The sequence below is a fragment of the Homo sapiens genome, chromosome 1 (assembly GCF_000001405.40).
Source record: "Homo sapiens chromosome 1, GRCh38.p14 Primary Assembly".
Lineage (NCBI taxonomy): Eukaryota > Metazoa > Chordata > Mammalia > Primates > Hominidae > Homo > Homo sapiens.
Genome location: NC_000001.11, coordinates 61347486 through 61374579, shown reverse-complemented (window position 1 = coordinate 61374579; position 27094 = coordinate 61347486). Strand labels below are relative to the sequence as shown.

The window sequence follows — 27094 nt, the reverse complement described above, 5'->3', positions numbered from 1 at the left end:
ATTTGTGAGTGAAAATTTACAACCAGAGAGAGTAAAGAATAGACACAAGGAAAATGTCATATAAAAATCTGGTTTCTGGGCCAAAAATAAAATCTCTTGACTAGTTGGGGGATTTCCTCTCCTTTCAAGGTAAACACAGACACCCCAGTGACAGGACTGAAATAAAAAAAATTGTGTTACATGCTCCATATACTTACAAGAGGTTGGAGATTCCCTACCCATTCCATCTGCCCCCTAGCCATCCCATCCCCCCATGTGTTCAGGAAAGGACTGATTTTAGCTCAACATAGCAATTATACGCATTCACAGAAGGACTGAGGATAAAGAAGACATTTCTGAGAAAACCAAATTATTTCTTTGCATAAACAATACATATAGTATAAAATAGCATAATGTTTTATTCATTCTCCTTAGATATCCAGCTGAATAGTAAAAAACTCAATCATACATATGTTTGGCTTATATCTGCCCTGCCCAATATGGTAGCTACTAGCCACATGTGGCTACTTAAATCTAAATTAATTAAAATTAAATGAATTTAAAAATTAAGTTGCTCAGCATAGCCACATTGCAAGGGCTTAGTAGCCATATGTGGCTCATGGTTAGAATACTGGATAGTATAGACACAGAACATCTCTATCACTGCAGAAAATTCTATTGGACAGCTCTGGTCTCTATGATATGATACCAAATAACTTTTTACTTTTTTGGTCATGCTGTACAACAGTAGATAAACCTTATTTTGTATTGTTCAGCATGTTTAGTCTTTTTTTTTTTAACTTCCAAAAGCGAAACATATTCACTGTACAAATATAGAACTGTATAATGGGAAAAAAATGAAAGCTTTTCCTCTCCATCTCCAACAAGCTGGAAGTAACTCAGTGTTCAAGCTTGGTTAACACCCTTATGAATACTTTCGTTGGCATATAACATTAGCCTTGATGATGTGAACTTTAGTATTTACTTAAATATACTCTCTTCTGTCAGTTAAAACATGATAGAGAGCTAGAGCTTAAGGGTCCTATGGATAAAATTTAATTTGAAAGAGATGCATAGTCTGTGAGGGTCCATGTTTGGGATACGCCTGTGCTGGAGCTCTATTAATTCCAGTGTTCCTTGGATACAAGCAGAGAACCCAGCTAAAGTAAAAATTTGAAACTGATTGAAACATTTCATAAGGGAAAAAGAAAGAAAATTTTAGCCCTCTTCAAATTGCTTGAACTGTGAAATCAAGTAATGAACACGAGAAAAGGTTCTGTCAGCTAGAATCTAAGGCTTCGTGTTGTCAGCATTTTCTTGCTAAATCTTATTATGGCAAAGCATTTGCTTTTTCATCTCTGCACTCTGTTCATCCCACAAATAAACTGCTTTGACCTCCACCTGTTACTTAGTGAAATCTGCCTGCCATCCTTCAATAACCCCATTCTTTGCCTTCGAAGGCCTTTGAATCACAGAGAAAGTGGGAAGCTAGCGTTGTGCAATGAATTGAGCTGCTATCACTTTATAAGTATTCCGTAGTTCATAGTTCAAGCTAGAAGCTACACAGCAAAAGAAAATGAATTTTTTTAAAGGTAGTGCTTATGAATACTGGAAGAGGGCAATACATTCCATCATTTTAACCTCAAATTTTTAATAGAAAGAGGTTCTCTCTTCAGCTCTTATTTAATGCAGAAAACTTCTAGCCCATTCCTTATAAGAAAACCTTTCTCTGAAAGAGTTGTGCCTTCAGTTTAGGTAGATGAGCCAAAAGATCCCTTCAAAGCTTAAAAATACTTCAAATTCAAGTATGTTCACTATACTGATATTTTGCAAAACAAAATGTATGAACCACTTACCTCAAATGCAGCTTCATGGATGTAAAAGGACCACACTACTATTAAACACTATTAAAGCAAACAAAAAACAATAAAAAGGGAAATAACTGTATTTATGTAAATCACACAACTACATGAGTCATTTTCTGAAGCACTGTATCTGACAAAATAGTTTGCTTTTTTTTTTTTAACAACAATGACATATCAGAAACAAGTATGCTGTGTAAAGTTGCACTTCTAATGATTAATGCTACATTCAACAGAAGAGATGGTGTCTGTCTAATTATGTTAAATACTTATCTAAGAGGGATTAGCAGGCTGTTTCTGCTCACTGTCATTCTTTGTGACAATGTAATGATCCATTTACTTATGAGTACAATTATTAAAAAGCATGCTATTTTCTTAACTGTCTTCATATCTTAGAAATATTTTATTAAAAATTACTTATTTGACACTAAGGGTAAATGCTTGGCAGAGTTTGGCATATCAATTAAGTAAATGAGTTAGTTCCATCAGTCATAGTCTTTGTTGGGTTTCTTATTCAAGTTGGGTGAAACTTGATCACCATAATCCTTTCATATTGGAGTTAATGATTCACCCTTTTTTCTCCTCATCTTATTTGTCCAAATCCTAAAGTTTGGTTTTCACTTAAACTAAAAACTGCTCATGGCCGACATTTTCTCTGGAGTCATGATTTAACACTTCTTCTTCACATTCACACCTTTTTTTGGAACCGAACACAAGGATCCAATTTTATACAGGCAACTCTTCATAGACCAATCAGAACGGGTTGCTAGCTATATATCATCTTTTGCGGCTTCTTCTACTCATGCAATGAACTTTATCCAGCACTTGTGAGGAAACTTGTGAGGGAAAGGTCTTTAGACAAGATAAAAACAAGAAAGCAAACCACATTGGGCACTACAACTAGGCTGGCTACACCCAAACCAAAGGACTATTTCCATATGTGTCTCAATAGACAAAACTAGGTTCCTCTCTGTCTTTGTCTTTCCACTTACTAACTCTCAAATGACAATTGCCACCAACCTGACCCTTGGGTGTGAAAGACAACCAAATAAGGGTATTGGGTGAAAGTTATTTACTGAATTGCTCCCTCAAGGAAGACTTTATCTATGTCTATAGCTTTTGTCAACTTAAGACAACTATCAAGTAGGCCAAGTGGCAGATAATGACATTTCTAATAAATTATATCTCTGCAAAAGTCTTCGAATGTACTGCCAGGGCAAAAATTTATGTGATCCAATATAATAAATGTGTGTCACAAAGATTTTTTTTTATTCTAAATGAAAGGTATGTTAAGGTTTCAATGCTGATAGACAAACTCATCAAAACATCAAGCACATCAAAAAAAGAAAAATTGCTAGTTAAGTCTTTTGAGGATAAGATTTCTGAAGGAAAAAAAAATCCACTGGAAGAACGAACTCTTAAAATTAGAAGCAGGTGTCAGCACCATGAAGTGATAAATATCAAAGAATAACTGGCCCTGAAAAGCATTCTTAAGCATCCCATACTACTTTTAAGCCTTACACGTGGATTTTGACATTCGAACATGAAGTGTTGCTTATATAAGTCCCTAAAGAGTGTTAAGACATGAGGGGTGTTGCACAGCCATTTTGATAAATGCTCTCTTCTGCTGGGTTCATGAAATGGCTGAAAGGCAGATGGCAAATTCTGACTGGCATTAAGTCATAAGTAATCCTGCTATCCTAGAATTCACTAATCTTGGAAGCTAATCATAGTTAAGTGATTTCTGGGTGGGGCTAACATGGCAGGGGCAGGGAAGACCCTTCAGATTAGAAATGGATATTGAGTTGCCATTCCTTGAATTTCTAATGACGTGAGTGCACTTCCAGCTACGCAAATGAAAACTTTAAACTACCTCTCATTACATACAAAGTAGACGATACCTACAGACTGGAATGTTTCTTCAAAATGAGGAACAAGATGCTTGGACCACAGTAAATCATCAAAGTGTGGGAGTATTGTCTGAATAAATACCGAACATTCACAGCTGTCTGGAAAGCCAGTTCCCCACAGTGGGCTGAGCGTGCTGGACCACAGGAAGAATTCCTCACTTGACAAAGACCAGAGAATCAAGAACCAAAGTTACACTGTATTTAAAAAACCCAAAGGTTTCAGAGGGGTTTTAATTGTTAAGAAAGGGAGGTCAGTGATACTTTACTCTGAAGAGGGAAGCCAATTAATTGTATTAATATTTAATGAGCTTTGCCATTCTACCTCAGTTTAATTTTTCAAGTTTAACAGATGCTTCAAAGTAAAGTGACGTTTTATTCCGGAAGTTTTCTTCCACTTGAGATATACTTTGTGAATCAGTGCTGGAGACAGCCCTCTTCATTTCAGTACTTGGTGTGCCATTCAGGAATCCATCAGGAAATAGTTCTTGATTTACTCTGTCGACGTGAGCATTTCTCGTAATCTTCCAGGATGTAATTCTCCCAGCATTTTGAAATGGGTGCCATGTCTCTGATTAATTGATGAGTTTATGATGTATCTAAAATCCTTGGATGGACAGAGCTGGATAAATAGGCATTATTGTAATCCTCTGCTGAGCAGAAAGCAATTGGGATGTGCACAGCCTCATGAGAAACTGCTGCACAGCAGCGTGCTGCACACACTATTGATTGACTTCTGGGATCTGCACAGACCAAGGACTTATTTCTTCCCTCTCTCCCCAATTCCCCATGTAAAAGCCACTTATTCTGGAGTGTTAACAAACTACTTTGTTAAAAACATTGATGGCCAAAAACCACAGAACTTTATTTCCATATAAACTGATGGTGCTATATTAGGTTATTTAACGTTTAAAGAGAATCATCAGTATGTAGGAAAAATATAAGACCCTATGAGAGAGGGAAATAAGTCTGCAAACAATAGTATTAGTGGTATCACTTTTTTACAAATTAAATGAATGTATATGTATGCACACATATATATTTATATATGTGTGCATATAGCTTAGAACAATGTGTGGCCCATAGTAAGTGCTCAATAAACATCAGTTATTGCTATTACTTATAAAACGCTTATATATTTAAAATTTCAGCAGCAGTGACAAAATACAAGCCAATATATATTTATTGTTAATCAACTTGTCTTGAGTCTATAAAATAGCTACACTGTGTTTATATGATAGAACGCAGGAAGTAAGATCACTAAAGTATTTTCATCTTTATATCTATGGTTAAAACTACCTTCAATTTAAGTTCTATAAATATTTAAATAATATTAGATATAGGAAAACATGGTATACTCTTAGGTAAGTCTGATCTATTATCTTTCTATCAATGATCGCTCTGTCTTTTTTCTTTCCTTCCTCCTCTTCCAACTACACTTTCTGGTTATTCTACCCTCTGGTGAATTTAATCTCCATTCAGATTAATTTTGTTCCCTCCAAGTAAATTATTTGCTTGTATTCTACCCAATCTATTATCTACAAATCAGAAAACTGTCTGTTTCAGGCAGGGGAGATTTGGGTCCATGAGTATAGTATGATAAACTGTATTTTTGTATATGCACTTCTTGAGGACTTCCTAGTATGTCAGCTCTCTAGAAGCTTCTTAGAGATGGAGTAAGATTCGACTCTGATATTACGAAACGAAGGAAACGGGCCAGTATTCACTGCTGCTCCTTTAACGATGAAATGGCTGATGCACCAGCTATTTTAAGCAGGCACAGCAGAGGACTGTGGTCTAAGCCGCTGAATAAACTCCTCACCCATATGAAGCTTGCTGTGCTCTACATCTTATCTATTACAGCCATTGGGTACTTATTTAACCAGTTACCCTTCCTTCCTTCACTGGGCTGTAAGCTCTTTGAAGGCAAGTTCTGTTTTGCTTATTTTCATACTTCTTCTATCATTTTTGCACAGTGCTTTGCATATAATAGATGCAGAGGTGTAATATATGTTATCAAATAAATTTCACAGTATCTTAAATTCATACAGTAAGTTTAGGGTTTTCAAAGTATTTACCCCCTAAAAAGGATATACAGTATTTCTTTACAGCATTTTGATTTATTAAATATACTTTGCGTATATTAAAAATATGTATAGTGCCCTGCACGATACTTTTACACAGAGCTGATGCTTAATAAATGGCAGCTCTTGTTCTTATCATCTCATTTGATCTTTTCAAAGCTATGAGTTAGGAAGGCAAGGCTGTTTTATTGTCCTCAATGTTTACATATGAGGAAATGAAAATTCAGAGAAGTAGTTTGCTAAAATTCTCAGGCTTGCTCATGGCAGAATATGAGAATGACTAACTTTTAAAATTCTTAATTTGTACTTTTTCCTCTTTAAAATACATTCTATTTCTCACTTATCTTCCTCCCCAGCAAGCCTATGAAGATTGCTGTGGTTGGAATGAAATTTGCTTTAATGTTCCTCTTTACAGTATGCTCCACCCAAGCCACACCATGAGTTGGCCACCTGAGCCACGGGGGCTGTACTGAGGATGGTGACAGGCACAGGGAGGAGGATTTCACATATAAACCTAATGTATACACTGCATCTCCTTCTTCCTCCCCTTCTAGAATATTTACACAGCTTCATTTTCAAACATGAAATTAAAAATTTGGAGATTTGGGTAATTTATTTATTCAGACAAGACCAGCTGAAATGCAGCATCTGTTTTCCTGAGAGCTTCTGCATTCACAAAATTGTACATCTGGGTTCTCCGATGCAAGCGGAGCAACGCTCATTCGTTCGACAAACGTATACATCGCTCTGCTTCTGAGCGCTTGATCCTACTCGAAGGACAAAGTGAGACGTGTGTGATCTCCATCTTATTATTTACTTATTTATTAAACAAATATTGATTGAATGGCTACTAAGTCGCCAGGTACTAGAGGCTTCAGGAATCCAAACAGTTTTCTGGATCATGCTTTATTATATATGTATATAACACATACACAGAGTATATGTGTGTGTGTATGAGAAGAATATTTCTTTTCCTCTAAGAGGTAACCTTTTAGACTCCAATTACAAGGAGCTGTTTTAGGCCCTTTTCTGACATTAAGAAAAAACAGCCTTGATAAAGAAGGCAAGGGATTTTTGAAGGGTGGTTACAGTGCTCATTTGGTAATACAGCTTTCCTGTCATAACCCCTTATTTGGGTGAAATTTCTCTGATAAAGAAGGGTTCGTAAAGAAGAGGCCCCTTGTTACTGTACCAATGTCCCCTGGTGTACCAGTCTCTAATGGGCAGGTGCCAATATGAGATCATAGAAGAGGATGTGGTCCCAGATGATGCTTTCCTACTGCTCCATAAATGCAGAAGAAAAGCCAAGACATCGATCCCATGGCAATGTTCTGTAGCAGTGACTATTCCTACTCCAGCAAGAGATGATGGGAGATTTAATCATTTTCTCTAATATATGCTAGTGCAGTGGAGTGTCCATGATCAAAGCACTATTGTTACCAGTCGCTGCCTTTTTACTGGCACTGATAATGGGTTTCCCCTGTGTCTCAGCTAGAAATCTAAGTTGGTAGACTTCCTCCACTCTTACAATTGATAAATGACTGTTGGCAGTCAAATTAGGACCAGCAGAGTTGGGAATCCAGGTGAACCTAATATGTGATATTTAAAATTACAATGACTAACATAAGTCTGCAAAATTCAACTATGCTGCCAGTAGTTGTGACACTGACCCCTAGTTCTGAATGCCCTGGGTCGCTGACTGACCAGATGTTTACCGAAATATTCTTTGACAGATGCCTTTAAACAATTTTTTAAAACTGTGTTTCTTAATCATTGTGATAGGAACAGAGAACATGTTATTAAAATACTTCATTTTTGTTTTTCAGACAGGAGTTTTGTTCTTGTCGCCCAGACTGGAGTGCAATGGCACAATCTTGACTCACTGCAACCTCTGCCTCCTGGGTTCAAGCGATTCTCCTGCCTCAGCCTCCCTAGTAGCTGGGATTACAGGAGGGCGCCGCCACGCCCAGCTAAATTTTGTGTTTTTAGCAGAGATGGGGTCTCACCATGTTGGCCAGGCAGGTCTCAAACTCCTGACCTCAAGTGATCTGCCCACCTCGGCCTCCCAAAGTGCTGGGATTACAGGTGTGAGCCATTGTGCTCGGCCTAAAGTACTTAATTTTGACCTTCAAAAATGAGAACAACTTACTCTTTGCAGAGAAATGTATCTCCAAAAGTTATTTATAAAAATAAAACTAAATTTATTCCTTATCAAATTTGACTTCAAAACTTTCACTAAACTGTTTTGAAACTTTCAACATGTTGGTGGATGTAACTGTGTCTGTTAATTGTTTTACAATCCCAGTATAATTGAAGGCATTTGGAATTTTGAATGTTTTTCTACAGGAGAAAATTTAAGTAGCTTCTTATGCATATATTTGAAACACAGTACTGAACTTCACTGAAAAGTACTGTAATTTCATTTTTTTTTACAATAAAAAAATTTGCTTTACTTTTTAGGTCTGCCAAAACTTACTGATATGTCTGTACTTAATGCAGATGCGGTCTCAAATCTGAAAGTGGTGCAACGCAGTCATCCATGAAGCCCACTGGACCCCTGGTATAAATCGTTAACTTCGGGGACAAATATAACCTGAGAAAGGCTCACAGAACAGCCACAGAGCTGCCTTTCAACTTAGGAAGAAGACTTAAATTTATATATACTAACAATCAAAAGACTAAGAGACAAGTCTCACTTTCAAGTGAGACTTGAACATTTCTCAGTCTGATTCCATCTAAATCCAGTTTAATTGCCACCTTTTAAGGAAACTATCCCTTATTCTCCAGATTTAACAGCTCTTTTCTTTTACTCCTGTGACACTTAACCCTGTCTGCTTTCAACTACCCTCAGCTGGGTAAGCCTGGCTGCCTCAGTAATCCTAATGATGATATTTCACGTGATTAGAGAATATTAATTTTCACAAAGGACTTTGGACTTCATTACCTCATCTGTCATAACTTTGTGACAGAGATGGAGCAGAAGGAACAGTTCCCACCTTACAGGTAGTGACTGACACTTGAGGAAATTCAGAGGTTTGCCCTTGGAGACAGGGACTTGCTGGAGTCCTCTCTGTATCTACTCTAGTATACTGCATACAATCAGCACTTAATAAGGATTCAACAACTTGGCTTGACTTTAATGATAATGATTAGAAGACCAGCCATTCCTTTTCATGCAGCAGGCCCTAAACTGGAGGAATATGGGACAGAGAGGGAGACAAGAGAATTGTTTTTCTTATAGTGAGGTATCTAGAGTCACCCAGAATCCAATCTTTTCTAATCTATTTGAAAATAGGCTAGATTTCTACCTATCTAGAATTGTTTTAAAGAGAACCTACTTTAACATAGAGAGAACGGTTGGAGAGCGTGACATTTAAAGTTAAGGTGGCTTCCAGACAAGTACTGAGTAGGGAGAACCCACCTAAAGGAACAAAAAAGCAGCCTAAATCAGTGCTTTGCAAAGTGTAACATGCACAAGCATCACCGGGAGATCTTGTTAAAATTCTGTTGGTCTAGGTGGGGCGTGAGATTCTGTTTTTCTGTTTGTTTCTCTTTTCTTTTGAGACAGGGTCTCACTCTGTTGCTCAGGCTGGAGTGCAATGGCACAATCATAGCTCACTGTAACCTTGAGTTCCTCGGCTCAAGCAAGCCTCCTGCCTCAGCCTCCCAAGTAGCTGGGACTACGGGCACACACCATTATGCATGGCTAATTAAAAATTTTTTTTTGTAGAGACAGGGTCCTGCTATGTTACTTAGGCTGATCTCAAGCTCCTGGCCTCAAGCAATCCTCCCACCTTGGGCCCCATGCCCGGCCAGGGTTCTCTATTTTTAGTAAGCCCCCAGGTGATGCCATGTTGCAGGTCCTCAGACCACACTTGGAGCAGCAAGGGTCTGAAGTGTCTCATATGGGTGCTCCTTACACTTGTAGAAGAGAACATTTGGTATGGAAATCTGAATTTTTCACAGGTAAGTCAGGGAGGTTGTCTATACTACATAAAATGTTCTACAAAGGATTCACTGTTGGGATTCTTAATACGGAGCTAATACTAAACAACAAACTTAGAAATAATACAGAATTATTATTTGTTTTTTTAAAAAAGGTTTGATTCACTTAAAGGAACACACTTTCAGGTGAGGGATACTTGTAATAAAGTCAATGCACTGCTGCTCGTCAAGAGGTCCTTGGCTGAGCCTAAGCAATTGTTCTGCTTACGACTTGCTAGTAATTGGATTTGACTGAAAGCCTACAAATTGAAAGTGTAGTAAACACCAATTCTGAGAGTATTCTTGATAGCAAATTCTGCTTTCAAGTTTATTGAAAGCACCCCAAATTCTCTGCTTTATCGCTTCATTCATTCAATCAATATTTATTGAATACCTATTATGTGCTAGACACTGTTATGGATGTTAGAGATACAGCAATGGAAAAGACAGACTAAGTCCCACTGTTCATGAAGTATATATTCTAGAGAGAGAAAACAGACAATAATAGCAGAGAGATGGCCTGGCGTGGTGGGCTCACACTGGTAATCCCAGCACTTTGGGAGGCTGAGGCAGGAGGATCACTTGAGGCCAGGAGTTTGAGACTAGCCTGGCCAATATGATGAAACCCTGTCTCTACTAAAAATACAAAAATTAGCCAGGCATGGTGGCATGCACCTGTAGTCCTACCTGCTCGGGAGGCTGAGGCAGGAGAATCACCTGAACCCGGAGGTGGAGGTTGCAGTGAGCTGAGATCGCGCCACTGCACTCCAGCCTGGGCGATAGAGCAAGACTCTGTCTCAGAAAAAAAAAAAAAATAGTAGATGCAGATGTAAAGAAAGCAAAACAGTGTTGTGAGTTATAGGATGATGGAGTGAGGGTCAGCAGCTATTTTAGATCACTGAGGGCCTGTGTGATGAGCTACTATTTGAACAAAGACCTAACTGCTGAGGGTTATTTGATTTTATAAATGAAAACGATAGTTTACTTTGTTAACAGTTAATACTCTTTGCTTATATATTGTGTCCTATGTATATTTAATAATCTATATTTCTTCTCTAGATTAAGTTGTATTACAAGGCTTTGGGATAAGGAAAATCGAATATTTTTCAGGTCTCTCTCATGAGTTATTTATTGTTTCTTATTATAATTTTTTTTTTTTTTGACGGAGTTTTGCTCTTGTTGCCCAGGCTGGAGTGCAATGGCACGATCTCGGTTCACTGCAACCTCCACCTCCCAGGTTCAACCAATTCTCCTGCCTCAGCCTCCCGAGTAGCTGGGATTATAGGCATGCAGCACCATGCGCAGCTAATTTTGTATTTTTAGTAGAGATGGGGTTTCTCCATGTTGGTCAGGCTGGTCTCGAACTCCCAACCTCAGGTGATCCGTCCACCTCGGCCTCCCAAAGTGCTGGGATTACAGGCGTGAGCCATCACACCCGGCTTTATAACGTTTTAACTAAAGTACCAGTCCAGGACATGAGACCCTAAAATGCTGCTCCAAATGTTTATGGTAAAAGAGGTTACTGAGTGTAGAAGATAAACTTAGACTATGAAGTCAGATTTGGTTTCAAATATGGATTTTGGATCCACAGATTTACTATCTGTGTGGGCTTGGGCAAGTCACTTGACCTTTTATGAGTCTCAGTTTTTATCTCTTTAGAGGCAGGATCATTATATTTTGCATATTTTAAAGGAGGTTAATTTTTTAAAAACCTGGTACACAGTAGGTACTCAATTGTAACTAGAATTTTTCCATATATTTGAAAGCAACATGAGTGTCTGACCCAATGTGGGCGCTGTGTATTGGTTTCTTTCCTGTTTATCTGCATTATCAATTTCTCTGTAATTCTTCATTTGTACAGATAAACAAGAGTTGATGATATGTGCATTTGTGCTTGATAGAATTTCATAGGACTCGTTTTGTCAATTCATGATTTGCTTCAAAGCTTCGTATCTAACCCAGTTTTGAGATAACTGGGAAACAAAACTAAGTACGAGAGACAAATGCAGCATTGTAAGAGAAGCGAAAGTCATTCTGAAGTTGTCTGATGTTTTTAAACTAACATCATCTTTAATCTCCTATGCCCTTCTTCCCAGATAATAAGAGCTGTGCACTAAAAGTGCTGAGATAAACTAATGGGGAACAGGATACTACAAAAGACATTTGAAATAGCCCATGTAATTTACTGCATGTCTGGTTTGTTTTACTTTCCACAATCTTCCTGTTGCTCTAGGAAATTTGTCTCTTCTGGCAACCTTTGGCCCTCTTTTGGCCAGGGAGTCCTGGAAAAGCATTTTAAGGCAGGTAAACGGAAACCAAAGCATTCTGAGTGAGGAGCAGGTACAGGCCTTGCTTCCTGTGTCACATCTGAGGCCTAAACACAGTATCCTTAGTACTTGTTTGAGAGAATTATCCCAAATGTAGGCAACCAAGAGGCTGCTGGTGCATTCAGATATACATAACTCCCAACATATTTCTGAAGGTAATTTACATGTGAACTACTAAAAGCCTCCTACTCAATTTAACTGTACCCCTGGGGAAAAGCTATGCAGGCCTGCATAAGTGTGGGAACAACATAAAGGTGCTCTCTGTGCCAAAAAGGGGATTGGGCTTTATGGAAAATCCCCAAAAAGGACCATCTGGCAGCATAAATTATCCATTTAAAATGGCTGGTGTGAGTTAATGACACCAAAGTCACCAAGAACATGTGCAACATCCTTCAGTTGAGTTTTAATGTCCCCTCAGGCCTTGTTGCAATTATGACTTTCTGCGCTTGCTGAGTATGGCCAAATGTACGTTTATCCACTGTCCTCTATCACTCCCTATAAACATATACCATGAAACTGCATTTTTCTGTAATGAAATGGGGATAGAGAATGGAGAGTCAGTCCAGGAATACAACTGTGAGGGATTCTCTAAGAATATATATGTGTACGTACACACACACACACACACACACACACACACACACACACACACACCTCTTACCAAAAAGGATTCAGCCATTAAACTTCAGTTATTTAATGACTACAAAGGATTCAGGTATTCAAATGTTAAAATTTATGATCGTTTGAATCATAATGTACAGATAGGAATAGGAATTGCCCTGAATAAAAGAGTCACTAGGTCAAAATATTCTGTAATTATCAATCAACCTCCACAGCCCCCAATATACCCAGAGGAATTAAATGCAAGGACCTAGAGCTCAGCCTCATGATGGGGGAGCTCTGAGTACCTCAACCTAATAAAGCAGCTTCAATATGCACAAAAATGCATCTACACAATAATCAAGCACAAATGTACCAAACCTATATGTTTAATTCTGATTTTCACTGAAGCAGGTAAATTGACTAGGGCTCTAATTAGCCTTTGAAAAAGGGTTCAAAGAAGTTTTCCATCTTTTAATTTTTTAATAGCACATAAACTTTTCATTGGCACTATATAGAGGTCATGCTGATGATGCGGGTAGTGGCAGTGAGAGTCAGCATTTTCCTTCTCATTTAGGGCTGGGACTATTTCTTAGGCACTTTAGGCAAACTGATGTGAACACGAATTCGGAGAAAAGATGATGTGTGACCTTCATAGAAGAACCACCACACCTTGAGTGCTGTGGTTGGTACTAATTAGAAACAGAAGTCACGGAAGACTAACACCACCATCTCTGCGCTTCCCATATCACCGTATAATGATCTGCTTATGTGTTTGTTTCCCACCTCTGACTGTGAATTCCTTGAGAGCAGGGGCCATAACCTTCCCATCTATCCTTGAGTTCCCAGAACCTGGCATAGTGCTTCATACAGAGAAAGTCCCCAGTGAAGACTATCCAATGAGTGAATGAATGAAAGACTAGGCAGAAGCAAAGCAAAGAGACATTTTTGCATTTTAATAGCAGGGGCAAGATAAAAGACACCGCCAATGGGCCTGAGGTGTTTTTGTTTTGTGTTTAATTATGATACAGTAAAATTAACTTGAGCAGGGAGGTATGTACTTCTGTGAATGTTAACGATTGTATAGATTACTGTGACCACCACAATCAGGATACAGAATGGTTCTATCACCCCAACATTTTCCCCGTGCTACACCTTTATAGTCACATCCCCTGAGCATTGTCTTTTGAAAAAAAATTAAGGGAGGAGACAAGGGAGCTAGGATTTATAGATGAAGAGGTTGGTTCAGAAATTTTCTTGGTGCTCGTCTGTACTTGCAGGGAATTAACTCTGAAGCAAAAGCTGGGGAAGGATGGCCATAGAACAGTATTTTCATACTTACTCTATGCTAGGTAGTAGCTATGCTAGGAAATAGCTATTAGTACTGTCAGATTATAAAAAGGGAGACACAGGCTCAGAGAGGCTAGGTAACTTGCCCACAATCACACAGCCAGCAGGAGTTGAAGCCAGGTTGGCACTCCAACTGTCTGATTTCAAGGCACATACTCTATCCTTTATACCCATTGGACTTGCCATATTCAGGAAGCTTTGGAGAAGATTCCCTCTAAACCACGTGTTAGACATTGGAAAGGGTTTCAAATAGTTTTTGCAATCAGACTTATCCATATTACTCCCAAGACTCCAGAGCCAAGATTAGACTACCCCAGGAGATTAGACCAGCAGTCATCATTTGTTCAGTTTAGTACAGATCAGAATAAAGAGAGTTGTTCCATTTAAATAGAAAAATAATCATGATGATATCCAGTAATAGGAAAAATATTGCAAAGTGTCCTTATTATATAAAAATCTGAGTCTAAACTATCGCAAGGAACCCATTCTTCTTTCGAATGTTATCGATCCTGCTGAAAAAGTTGATAGATTTTTATTAGGATTAAAAGATAATTTCAAAAACTAAACCAAAAGATAGTATAAAAACAAAAACAATTGGGAGGCCGAGGTGGGTGAATCACAAGGTCAGGAGTTTGAGACCAGCCTGGCCAACATGGTGAAACCCCGTCTCTTTTAAAAATACAAAAATTGACCAGCTTGGCCAACATGGTGAAACCCCGTCTCTACTAAAAATACAAAAAATTAGCCAGGCGTGGTGGCAGGTGCCTGTAATCCCAGCTACTCGGGAGGCTGAGGCAGAAGAAGGAGGAACCAGGGAGAAGGAGGTTGCAGTGAGCCAAGATCATGCCACTGTACTCCAGCCCGGGCGACAGGGCAAGACTCTGTCTCAAAAAAGCAAACAAACAAACAAAACAAAACAAACAAAAAAACCAAAAGCAAATCAAATGCTGGATTGTGGTGTAGGGGAAAATATGTAAGAGCAGAAAATCATACACCATCTCACCAGTCTTGCATTTCAGTTGAATTACTACTGCTTTGCACAGCCATCCTTTTATGAATGTGGCAATCAGATTACAATACAAACAAGTGCTCATCCTGAAAAAGTGAACTACCTTGAGCTTTCTTTCTTCACTTTTATGCGTGGCATGGGACCCCACACGTATTTTCAGTTTCACAGTGTTAGCCACATGCCCGTGCCGCCACTCTGCTTACCTGGCTCCACTTCATGCCATCCACTTGACTGACTGCCACTTCCTGGGGAGCGCCCTTGGCCTGTATAAAATGGCTCCTCACCAGGACTGTCCATTTCATCCTCCACAGACTTGAGGCGCTTTGTGGAGCTGAAATAACAAATGGGTGCATGTTTAAAAGCAATCGCAACCACCTTTCTCTTGGACACTGCACCTCTGGTTGAAAGAAAGCCAAGGGAGGAAGCAATTGGGCAACTTAATGTAGTTCTAGGACTCCTTTTAAACTTCTGTTCAGTCTGGTGAGTCACTGGATGTAGAACAAAGTCTTGGGTCTGTGTTGTTCCAAGTGTCTGAGTTTGATTTTTATTGTCAATCAAGTTGCTGCTGCTGCCACATCCTGTTCCTGTTTCCTTTGAGGAATAAGCGGCTGGCTCTAGCTCCTGCCTCCACCTGGAAGTGTTGGGAGTAAGGCCACATATTTCCTATCTCCACAGGTGGTGGCTGGGGCCTGGCCATCAGCAATGAACCTGGGCATCAATTTAATCCCTGCTGGAACCTCAGAAAGGATAAAAAGCAGGGCTCGTGATCCTTCAGGAAAAGCTTGGATTGGGCTGGGCATGGTGGCTCAAGCCTGTAATCCCAGGACTTTGGGAGGCCAAGGCAGGCTGATCACACTTGAGGTCAGGAGTTTGAGACCATCCTGGCCAACATGGTAAAATCCTATCTCTACTAAAAGTGCAAAAATTAGCTGGGTGTGGTGGCAGGCACCTGTAATCCCAGCTACTCGGGAGGCTGAGGCAGGACAATTGCTTGAATTGAGAGGTGGAGGTTGCAGTGAGCCGAGATCGTGCCACTGCACTCAACCCTGGGCGACAGAGCAAGATTCTGTCTCAAAAAAAAAAAAAAAAAAAAAAAAAGAAAGAAAGAAAAGAAAAGAAAATGAAAAGTTTGGATTGCTTTTTTTTTCTTTTGCCACATTTTCCCATCTTCCACTTGGAGTTGTTCATTCAAAAAAACATTTACTGCACAGCTAGTCCAGGTCCTGCTCTAAATACTAGAAATAAATCAGTGAACAAAACAAATAAAAAGGAAGGAAGAAGGAGTGCTCTGTCCCCTGAGAACAAGAGACATAAAAAAAGAGTGGCCCAATGACTTTTATGTGCTTTCTCTATGCAAAGATTATCAAAACAAAGTTTTATTCCATCAGGGTAGGGATTTTCATTTTTTGGAGAGGTACGGTCAAGAAACTTTCAGAATATATCTCATTTTTTCCAGTTGAAGGACTGAATATTCTCCCCAGTTTGAGGCTTCAGGAGTGAAAACGTAGTGAAATGCCGCCTGCTGCTATGCTTGCTGTAGTTGTTTTAATTGAATGCCACAGAATCAGGAAGTTTGCAGGGGTGATAAAACTGTCAAATCTACCCATATTATTAGGATGAGTAGATTTCATATCTACTGGGAGTGCGTGTTGGGAAATCTCTTCTTCACGTTTCAGGGGACAGAAGTTTTCGTATGTTTCATTCATGAAATACCTACTGTGCGCATCCTACATGCCAGGTGCTGTGCAAAGTGCTGGGATATAGAGATGAGTCAGACATGGAGACAGAGAGGCAAACAAAACTGTGCAAAAGAGAAATATAGGAGTTATGATGGAACCACACACAGGGTACAGTGGGTCACACAATGGAGACAGTGATGAGCCAGGGGTTCGGGAAAGGCTTCCTGGAGGAAATGGCTCCTGAGCTATCTTCAAGAGGGTCAAGGAGACAGGGAAGAATGAAGGAAAGGGCAGAGGCAGGGCTGCTCTACAGCTGATGTACCACTCAGGCAGCCATTTGGTATTAAAAATATTATCAATGGGCAAACTGTCATTGTCTTAAACTCCATACATTTCTTCCAACCTTGCCTCCCCTTCTTTGTCCCAGACACCCTCACAGTCCGAAATCTAAAGGGTTAATGTCTTGCAGATCAGGAGCATTCCAGGACCTAGCCAAAGAAAGCCCTGCAAGCAGGGCAGTGTCTGTTCTAATTGGTATGCTCATGTCACACAGGTTATCAGATATTTCGAACATAACCCCCAGAAGGGAGGAGCCTATCAGGAAGAAGCCACATTGTGAGTGAAGTGTGATATGTTCAGAGAACTGCCAGCTGTTTAGGATGGCTGAGGTGGGGAAGAAGGGGCACAGCGAGTGAGAAGGGTGGAGGTTATAGAAGATATTGCACGTCTGGACTTTCTCCTATAAGCAATGTAGACTCCCCGAAATAATCTAAACAGGGAATGACAGGGGAGTTATATTTTAGAAAAGTTACTTTGGTAATTGTGCAGATGATAGATTTAGAAAGGCAAAGGGGAAAACAGGAAAATGGAGCCTAGGGCAGGGAGACAGTTAAGCTATTGCAGCAATCTGAATGAAAAAATGTGGAGGGCCAATTTATGGCAAGAAATTCTAATTATTAATGTTGGCATTCCAGTATTCTTAGCCATTAAGTTCTATTCTCATTAAAGCCAGACCACAGGAAAGCAACATAACTGTGCCATGCTAGCTTAGTACTCAAAGGAAATGCCTTTAATGCTTATTTAATGTTCTTTGCTGGGCTTTCCTTGAAAGTTCAATGAAAAATAGCCACTGAAGAACTTTTCTATATTTTATGTAAAACTACATCTAATGGGAGTCCTTTATAAGACGATATACACAGCGAATTCCTTACAAAACATAATCAGAAAAATATGGTCTCTTTGAACAAATTTATCTTGTATCCTTTTATTAGAAATGCAAACTATATAACCCTTTTTGCCTTGGCAACCAGGAAGCTCAGGGCTAAACTTAAGGCATAACTCTTGGTTCAGGCTCCTGCTATAACAATTTTTTTCCACATGGTTTCTGGCCTCTTTCTACATTTAATATTACCTGTTGTTTTAAAATGGAAAGCCACTGGAAATCATCTTGGAAACAGAAAGAATACATGTTAGAAAAAAATAAACATTTCCCTGAAGTACTCTGGCAAATAAAATGAGAAGCCTATATGTTCTGATGGGGCTGTAAGATCTTCAGGGAAAATGACTATATACTTTTTAATCTCTAGTGCCTACCACAGTGTCTGGCTAACAGAAGATACTAAAAAACTGCTGAATTGGGCTACTGACTTAGAAACAGCCATACAAATACATGTGACATGGATTCATCCAAGTATAATTCAGTTAGATCTAGCCCCAAAGGCCAACTCCATTGTCCATCATTCTCCCATTATTGATACTTTTCTGAGTTTTTAAAGGTTTTGATTTCCTTGGCATCCTCTAATAAAATGCAAATACCCCAAGCCAGTATTAAATCCTAGAGTTGAAAGATTCTATAGCTATCGGTTGATGCCTTAGTTTGAAAGCAAGGATTTTCAGAAGTTGACAAAAGAGGGCTGGGCATGGTGGCTCACACCTATAATTCCAACACTTTGGGAGGCCAAGGCAGGAGGATCACTTGAAGCCAGGAGTTGAGAGACCACCGTGGGCAACATAGCGAGACCTTGTCTTTACAAAAAAAAATATTTTTTAAATCAGCCGCGTGTGGTGGCAGATGCCTACAGTCCTAGCTACTTCAAAGGCTGAGGCAGGAGAATTGCTTGAGCTCGGGACTTCGAGGTTGCAGTGAATTATGATCACTGCACTCACCTTGGGTAATAGAAAGAGACTCTGTCTCTATTGGAGAAAAAAAAAAATTAACATCTGGAGGGAGCATGGAAAAGATAAAAAGATCAGGAATGAAGCAAGTTAGGAAGCACAGGTGGAGGCTTCCGAGACAACTTTACTCTGACTTCACAAACTTTTGACAGCTGGTTTATCTTGATAAAGTTTTTTGGAATAAAAAATGTATCGTATCCCAATTTTTACACTGCTCTTTCTATGATTTTGAAGATGTTTACCCTGAAGGGGTACAGAACTTACAGTCAGTACCATTGCATCACATTATCTACCTACCTATCTATCTATTGAAATGAATCAGTCATTGATTTTGGTTTCTTGCTCTTTCTAACACACTCATTTTCCCAGAAACACTTGAGGGAAGCAGGAAAGTATCTGTAAGATCTACACGAAAAGGATGAATATTCTCCTAAGGAGTGATGCACTATTTCTTCTTGTATGTGGAATTTTTTCTTGTATTTCTAGCAATTATATCTAAAAAATAAGGTAAAAGTATTACCCTAATTCCAAATATCTTAATTCCTACTCTGTGTAATTACGGCCTAGAAGTCTTACTTAGCATTCCTAAGACTGCAAAATGCCTTAACTTTCCTGAGTGTTCATAGGACCCTGAACTGAAAATTCCCACTTCTCAGTCTCTACCACTAGATTGTAAAGCCCCTCTTATTTGACTTTACACCCATGGTGCCAAGGACGGTGTCCTTGTTTCTTACTAATAACGTTCGCTGCTGAATGGGAAGAGCTAGACGCTGTCGTTCAAGGGACTCACTGTCTAGATGGGGAGGCTGCACACGTGTTGGCCTCAAAGATGGTTAAGAATAACTCAAGACGGCAAACACTAAATGCCAGGGAGGAATAGAGATGCTAGAAACTCCTTTTTTAGGACCTCATATTCTGTTGTTCCTTACTAAAAGAGTCAGTCCTATTCTCAAGAGGATTCTGTGTGAAAAGAGCATATTTTTAAAGTTCCAACAGACCTGAGTGTGAATGGAGACTCCTCTATTCACTAGGACTGTGACTTTGGGCAAGTTACTTAACTTCTCTGAGCTTTGTGTTGCTCCACTGTTTAAATGAAAACACTGTGTGTGTTGTCAAATTATTGTGAAGAATAAATCAGAACAGGTATACAACTCACCTAATATGGTGCCTGCCACAGAGAAAATGACCCATTAATATTGGCACAGCAGGAAGACATATTGATCGGTGAACATTTCTATATATAAATCTGAGATATTCTTCTGGGCACACTTTCTAACCTGTACATCGTTAATTCTGCTGAATCTATGTATTTAAAGAATTTTAAAAATCATCCTAGGAAGAGCCTAATGAGAGTAAAACAAACATATTACCGGGTTATTAACTACTGATGCAGGTTATAATTAGCTCCTTATCAGGGTTAGTTATTTGCAGAATATGAGAACGACACTGGCCTTTTAAATGACATTCATAATGAGCTTTCCTCTCAGAGAGTCACAAAAGATAATAAAACATAGCTGGAGAATTGTGTGAAAACATAAAAAGGGGGAAACACTGTTTGGGAGGTACATGGTACACATACAGCACACACATGAAAAACAAACAGCCCATAAACTTTTAAATTAATCACTGCCCACAGGTATTTGCAAAGCTTTTTCATGTTGACTGAGTACAGTTACACACAAGGTCTCTCCCATCAGCAAACATTCAAAATCCTCAAAATGTATGAACACCCAAATATATTCACAATCTCTTTCTTCTATTATAAATATACTTTGGATGTGTGACTTTTTTGTCCCCCTGAGGAGCTGATACTACAGGGAACTAAAGGGAACATTTAAACAACATGAAAGATGATGGTAGGATTTGATAGTTATATTAAGGGAATACCTGTTTCTTTAACTGTCTTCAAGGTATTAGGGATGACTAAGTTGATCTTTTTTTTAAAGTAGTGATGTTTAAAATATATAAAGGCAAGGTAAGAACGAGTGTGCACCAAGGAAAAGTTCTATAATTTGGGCATTGTTTTAAATCATAAGACTCAGGTACTTGCTTTAGGAGGAATATACCTTTGTCAGACATTTTTCTGCAAAGTACACAAACATTAAAGATCGTTCTGTACCATTCTATTCTTTGTTGTCACAGTCCAGTGCTAAAGCCAATTTGTAAAAGAATACTGTGGGTTTAATGCCTAATCCCTTTCCCTCTGGTACAGGTTATCTAGAGACAACACGATCTTGCAAAAATGCTTCATTTTGATTTTGGCTTTGTGACGTTAAAGGGAGCAAGAACCCCAGAATCATTATCAGGTTACACTACTCTAGCTTTACTGTTTTTAAGGTCTCTCAATACAATGGGGTCTGTGGTCTGGCCCCACCCTCACTTGAGGTTATGCAAGTGACTACTTCCATTTGTATAACCTCACACCAGGATATCAAATGGGTTTCACCTTTTAGGGCAACTCCAGTAAACTGGATATTGAGAGCTTTGGGGGCTCGGTGGGAAAAGAGCTGGCACTGAGCTGTAATGTCTGCTGTGGGCATGACACTGAGACTGTCACCAGTGTTCACTTCCTGCCAAACAAGCCAAAACATATGCCCTTTGCTGCAGTCCAGCCTTGTCCTTCATTTCCTGAGAACATGTTATGTTCATCATCCATCCTTCCTCCAAGCCTTTGCTCATTTTTCACCCCACCCAGAATTCCATTCCTTTTCCTTTCTATCTCACCAACCCTAACCAACATTTAGAGCTGGAAACAAGGTATTCTTTTTGCATAAAGCTCTCTTTAACTATTTTTAGCCTGTGTCACACAATTTAGTTCACAGTTTTTTAGTGTGTGTGCGTGTGTGTGTGTGTGTGTGTGTGTGTGTATTTAATCTTGCCACATGCATATTTGCTTTATCTCCCCAACGAGACCGACAGTCTTTTGGGGCTGAACCCACTACTTTGTTATCTTCTATTACTAAAGGCGCATTGCTAAATCCATAGTGGGCCCAGAGTTAAAATCAAGGTGTGCAACCATGTAGCATAATTTCTTCAAGAGCTGCCAATAAAATTACCTCGTAGAGGATGTGCTGGGTAAAGACCTCCTCATTGCTCCTGGACTCATGCTGTAGTATGAAGAACTTTCCAAATCTGAGAGAGAAAAATTTGGGCCAGTTCCTGCAGCTATTGGTGCTAGAATTAAGAAAACAAACAAAAATCAGTTAAATTCTGTGGATAAAAAAATCAATGACAGCATCCTCAGTGTTGCATTTAGCACATTTTCTTTTTGCATTTATATGTAAGCGAATCGAAAATAATCAGTAATAAACTATGACTCCAAAGGAATATTGACTAAAAATAGTCTATACAGGAAAGGCATATTTTTTCTAATATATTTTTCATCTTTTCTCTTTATGTAATAGTAAATTGTCACCAAGGTTGCAACATTCTTGGATGCTTTTAACAAAAATACTTCCCCACATTTTGGTCTTACACTTTTCTGGAATGACCAGCCAAAACACTCTTTAGACTTTTCTAACTTTATCTGATCCTGACAGCTTCTACTCATCTGTATTTTGGAATTCTGTTTTGAACTTTGGTGAGAACAAAGTCATCTTTCTAAGCTGTCCATTCCCAGTTTCTTATAACATGAAATGTGTGGTTTCTCTTTACTCTGAATCACCTCTCCATCTTGCATACACCTTAACTGAATATTTGTCCAACCTTGTAATTTAAGGCAGGCCCATAGTTTTTATGAATAAAGTTTTACGGGAGCATAGCCATGGCCTTTCATTTCTATATTGTCTATGACTGCTGCCACATTACACCATCAGAGACGAGTAGCTGCAACAGAGACCATATGGCCCACAAAGCCTAACATATTTATTAGCTGGCCTCTTATAAAATGATTTTCTGACCTTTGATTTAATTTTGATTATTTGTGATTTTCAGAAATGACCCTTGTGTGAGACTGATTCCTTGCATTTTCTGTCTTTGAATCTTTAGATACCTTTTTGACAGTAGTTTAATACATGTTTTCCAATGGACAAATAACAAGTACCAATTCTATAAAACAACTCCGTAAAATTAGTGGTGTAAATTATTAGTGCAAATAATCTTTTTGAAAGGTTATGTCAAAGCAGGAACAATAGATACTGTACTGAGGCACTGGTTTGAGAGCTAAGCCCACATGATTTGATACTGGAATAAATAAATTACAGGTTAGTATCCATCAGAAGAAATAACAATAAGGGTTATCATGAACCAGGGACATTTGTACATCCAATGAATGCTTACTGAGAGCCTGCTACTGCCAAGAACTATGATGAGTGAGGAAGGCACTTAGATGAAAGACATGGTCCCTACCCTTAAACGGAAAAGAAAGTCTGACAGATTAATTTTTTAAAAGTCTGCGAAGTCATCTGATAGAGCTACAGGTGCTCAACTTACAATGAGGCTATGTCCTGATAAACTCATCATAAGTTAAAAATATCATCAGCTTAAAATGCACTTAATATGCCTATTTTATAATAAAGTGTTGAATATCTCATGTAACTGATTGAATATTGTACTGAAAGTGAAAAACAGAATAAGTGTATGGCTACTTGAAGTATGACTTCTACTGAACACATGTCACTTTCCCACCATCGTAAAGCTGAAAATTTTAAGTGGAATCATTGTAAATTGGGGACCATCTGCATTCCTAAATTGAAGTGGCTGCAAAGAAGTGGGTTATCTAACCCAACCTGGGGATAAGAAGTTCAAGGGAATGGCCTCAGAAAACGTGAAGCCTGGAAACAATGTTAAAAGGAAAGGAGGAATTATGCAACTGAAAGGGATGGAGGACTTCTAGGTAGAGGAAACAGCATCAAGAGAGCAGAAAATGTTTACTGGATTTCTGATAGCTTGGTATGATGACATAGTGTAGAATACACGGGAAAGAGGAAGGATGGTTAAGGTGAGGTTATGAAGGATCTGGCAGGTTTTTCTTTCTTTGTTTTAGAGACAAGAGCTCACTTTGCCACACAGGCTAAGTGCAGATGCAGAGGTGTGATCATAGCTTACTGTAGCCTCCAGCTCCTGCGCTCAAGCAATCTTCCCGCCTCAGCCTCCGGAATAGCTGGGACCACAGGTATGCTACGCCACACCCGGCTAATTTTTTAAAAATTTCTTTTGTAGAGATGGGTCCTTACCATAATGCCCAGGCTGGTATTGAACTTCCAGTCTAAAGCGATCCTCCTGCCTTTGCCTCCCAAAGCACTGGGATTACAAGCATGAGCCAACATGTGCCCGGTGGGATCTGGCAGGTTTATTTAAGGAACATAAATTTGAATTCAGCAGATTCCCAAGTTTATAAGCTATTAAAGCATCTACCTCACCCCACTATAACTGGGGATTATACTGTCAGCATCTAATATAGTCCCTGACACCAGGAGGCAGTCAGTAAACACTGGTCAATGGAATGGGTTGCTGCATTGAGTTGTATTCAATAGTCAAAGAAGGACCAGCAAAGTATGGGAATGCTATCATCAAATTTGCATTTATCACCTAGAAAGATCAGTCTGTCATGAGGGTAGGCATGGAGGTGAAAGGGTGGGGGGCGCCTGAAGAATATAATAGGCAAACCAGAGAGTCCACTGGGGCATTTATGCAAGGTATAGTGGGGATGGGGACTAAACTCAAAGGATGGAAAGGAGGAGCCTGATGTAAGTTATTCAGGAGTTAGAATCAAGATGTACTGACTGGCTGGGCACACGTGTGGTGGCTCACGCCTATAATCACAGCACTTTGGGAAGCTGAGGTGGGAGGATTGCTTGAGACCAAAAGTTCAAGACCAGCCTGAGCAACATAGTGAGACTATGTCTCCACAGAAAAAAAAAATATTTTTTTTAAAAATTAAATTAGCTAGGTGTAGTGACACGTGCCTGTAGTCCCAGCTACTTAGGAGGCTGAGACGGGAGGATCACTTGAGCCCAGGAGTTTGAGGCTGCAGTTAACTATGATCATGTCACTACAACTCCAGCCTGGGCAATGGAGTGAGAACCCATCTCGAATAAAAATCTTGGAAAATAAATAAATAAAAAGAAGACATGCTGACTTCTTGACTATCGTAATAATGGGAACAGGGGAGTATGGGATAACTCCCACGATTAGCACTTGGGAAACCAGGTGAATTGAGGTGCCATAATGGAACTATGGAATCGAGGGACGGTATGAGGAAATAAAACAATTTCTAAGAATAAATACTTAGTTATTTGATTAATACCAATGAATAAACCTTAATCACAACTGTCAATATACAAAAACAGTCACTGCTAAAAAAAATGGAAGACTGAAATTCACATCTACTTTCTGAAATTCAAACACATCTCTCAGTAACAGGCTCTAAGGGCCTTTCGTTTAAAAAAAAACGGTGAGGCTTGACAATAAGTGTAAACAGGGTTCTAATTAATAATTCTGATAGTCATTCCCTAATTTGCTTTTTATATTAAATTTATTTGCATAATTTCCTCTTTTATTAGGTAATCTTTATGTATGAAATAGGCTATGGAGGAAGGGTGGGGGAGATTAGTCAAATATGAGCCTAGATCACTCATCCTCACTCCCAGCAAGCTGACATACAGTAGGTACTTAATGCTTTGTGCCTTCCTGGAGATTAGAGATTCACACCTCTCATTAACCAAAGAAGGGTTATAAGGCTGATCAGTGTCATAGCTCTGGATTTAGATGTTTTTCACAAATGTCAGAAGGGAGATGAGGTCTCAACTGGGTGGAGAAGCCGTTTCATTCCTGAGCATGGCGGACACTGTCTGGCCCTCACTCCCTCGCTCTTGGAAGGAGAGGAACACAGAGCAAAGTGTGAATGTGAGGGACTTGATCAGACGGAGAGAAGAAGAGGCCTCCTAGCTCGTGGTGAACATCCAGCTGCACTTAAATTTAATACTTTATCTATCCTAGAAAAATGTCTTTTGCCTTATCTTTTTTAAATGTCAAGAGAGCCAGAATAGGGGAAGAAAAAGAAAAGCCTGTGTAAACATGGTGTGCCCACCTTCCAGATGTTAAAAAATAATTAAGCCCACATAAACGGGCTTAGCTTGGTCATATATATACTTCCTGTGAACCACTTAAGTACACTGGAATTGTAATGTGGCAAATGGCACCAGGTGGCCTGGCACGTCCCGAAAGTGTCTATCAGACTTCTGATGAGTAACTTGAGAGCTTGGCAAACTGGTTATGTGTGTCTTGAATTTTAAAACATCACTAAGTTTCTGAAATGAGAATGGGTTTCACACCCTGAGTTAAATAATCCTAGTAATTCACAGACCCAAACTCTGCCTTCTTCAAGAGTCTTATAAAGGAACATCCCCCTGCAACTGCCTGTAGGTATGAATCACATGGACAGTTGGCTTATTGGGTTGGATTCTGACTCAGTGACACTGTCACAGCCAAAGAGAAAGCTTCACACTTGAGGGGAGCAGTCCCTATCAAAGTATCCTTGCATTGGGTTGGGTATTCTCAGTACCTCTAATCTGGAGAACAGAAAGAGCTTTTGGCAGGTCATGAAGAACTGAAGAGGTGGGCTTTAGGCAGGCTTTTTGGAGCACCCATGATGCCATGTTTTGATAAGCACTGTACTTACTGTACTTAATTTCATTCTCAAACCTCAAAGTGCATTTGCTAGATGAGGAGAACGAAGCCTTGAAGTGAGATTAAATAACTTGTCCTCGATTACAAAAAGACAAAAAGAGAGAGTCAGGGTTAAAATGTAAGGATACTGACCTCAAAACCTGGGCTTTTCTTACTGCGCCACACTGACTCCCACATATAGTATTTGTCTTAAACTTGAAATGATAAAAAGATACACAGTGTCTCTGTCCCCAAAAGGTTTACAACCTAAGTGGAATACTAAAATAATACCTGAATATCTAATGCAATGCCGAACATGCTAAATTTCATAGGAAAAAATGCAAAGAATGTGCTAGGAAAGTTCAAAGGAGTCATGGATCCCATTGGCTTGTGAGATCAGAAAAAGGTTTGATTCCAGGAAGAGTGGGCACTTAAGCTGAGCCTTCGAGGATAGTTCAGATTTAAAGAGGCACAGGACACAGGAGAGGCTTTCTTGGCAATAGACAAAGTATGTGCATAAGTTTGGAGAT

At 39.3% G+C, this 27094-nt stretch overlaps 1 protein-coding gene across 4 annotated transcripts in view, besides 1 other annotated feature; it reads right to left on the bottom strand.

Annotated features, from left to right (window-relative positions):
• The window catches only part of NFIA (nuclear factor I A), a 385562-nt gene that overhangs the window by 88209 nt on the left and 270259 nt on the right, over positions 1–27094 (bottom strand). For all 4 annotated transcript variants that reach the window (NM_001145511.2, NM_001145512.2, NM_001134673.4 and 1 more), the window contains 2 exons: positions 22013–22130; positions 15306–15433 (listed from right to left, as the gene is read on the bottom strand). In NM_001145511.2, coding sequence (NP_001138983.1) covers positions 15306–15433; positions 22013–22130 — 246 coding nt within the window. The remainder of the gene's footprint in view (positions 1–15305; positions 15434–22012; positions 22131–27094) is intronic.
• Positions 21209–21503: a silencer, noted in NCBI's record as "tiled region #1245; HepG2 Repressive non-DNase unmatched - State 15:Elon". NCBI's record gives its function as "represses a minimal TATA promoter and a strong SV40 promoter by Sharpr-MPRA in HepG2 cells {active_cell/tissue: HepG2}" and the evidence as "EXISTENCE:reporter gene assay evidence [ECO:0000049][PMID:27701403]".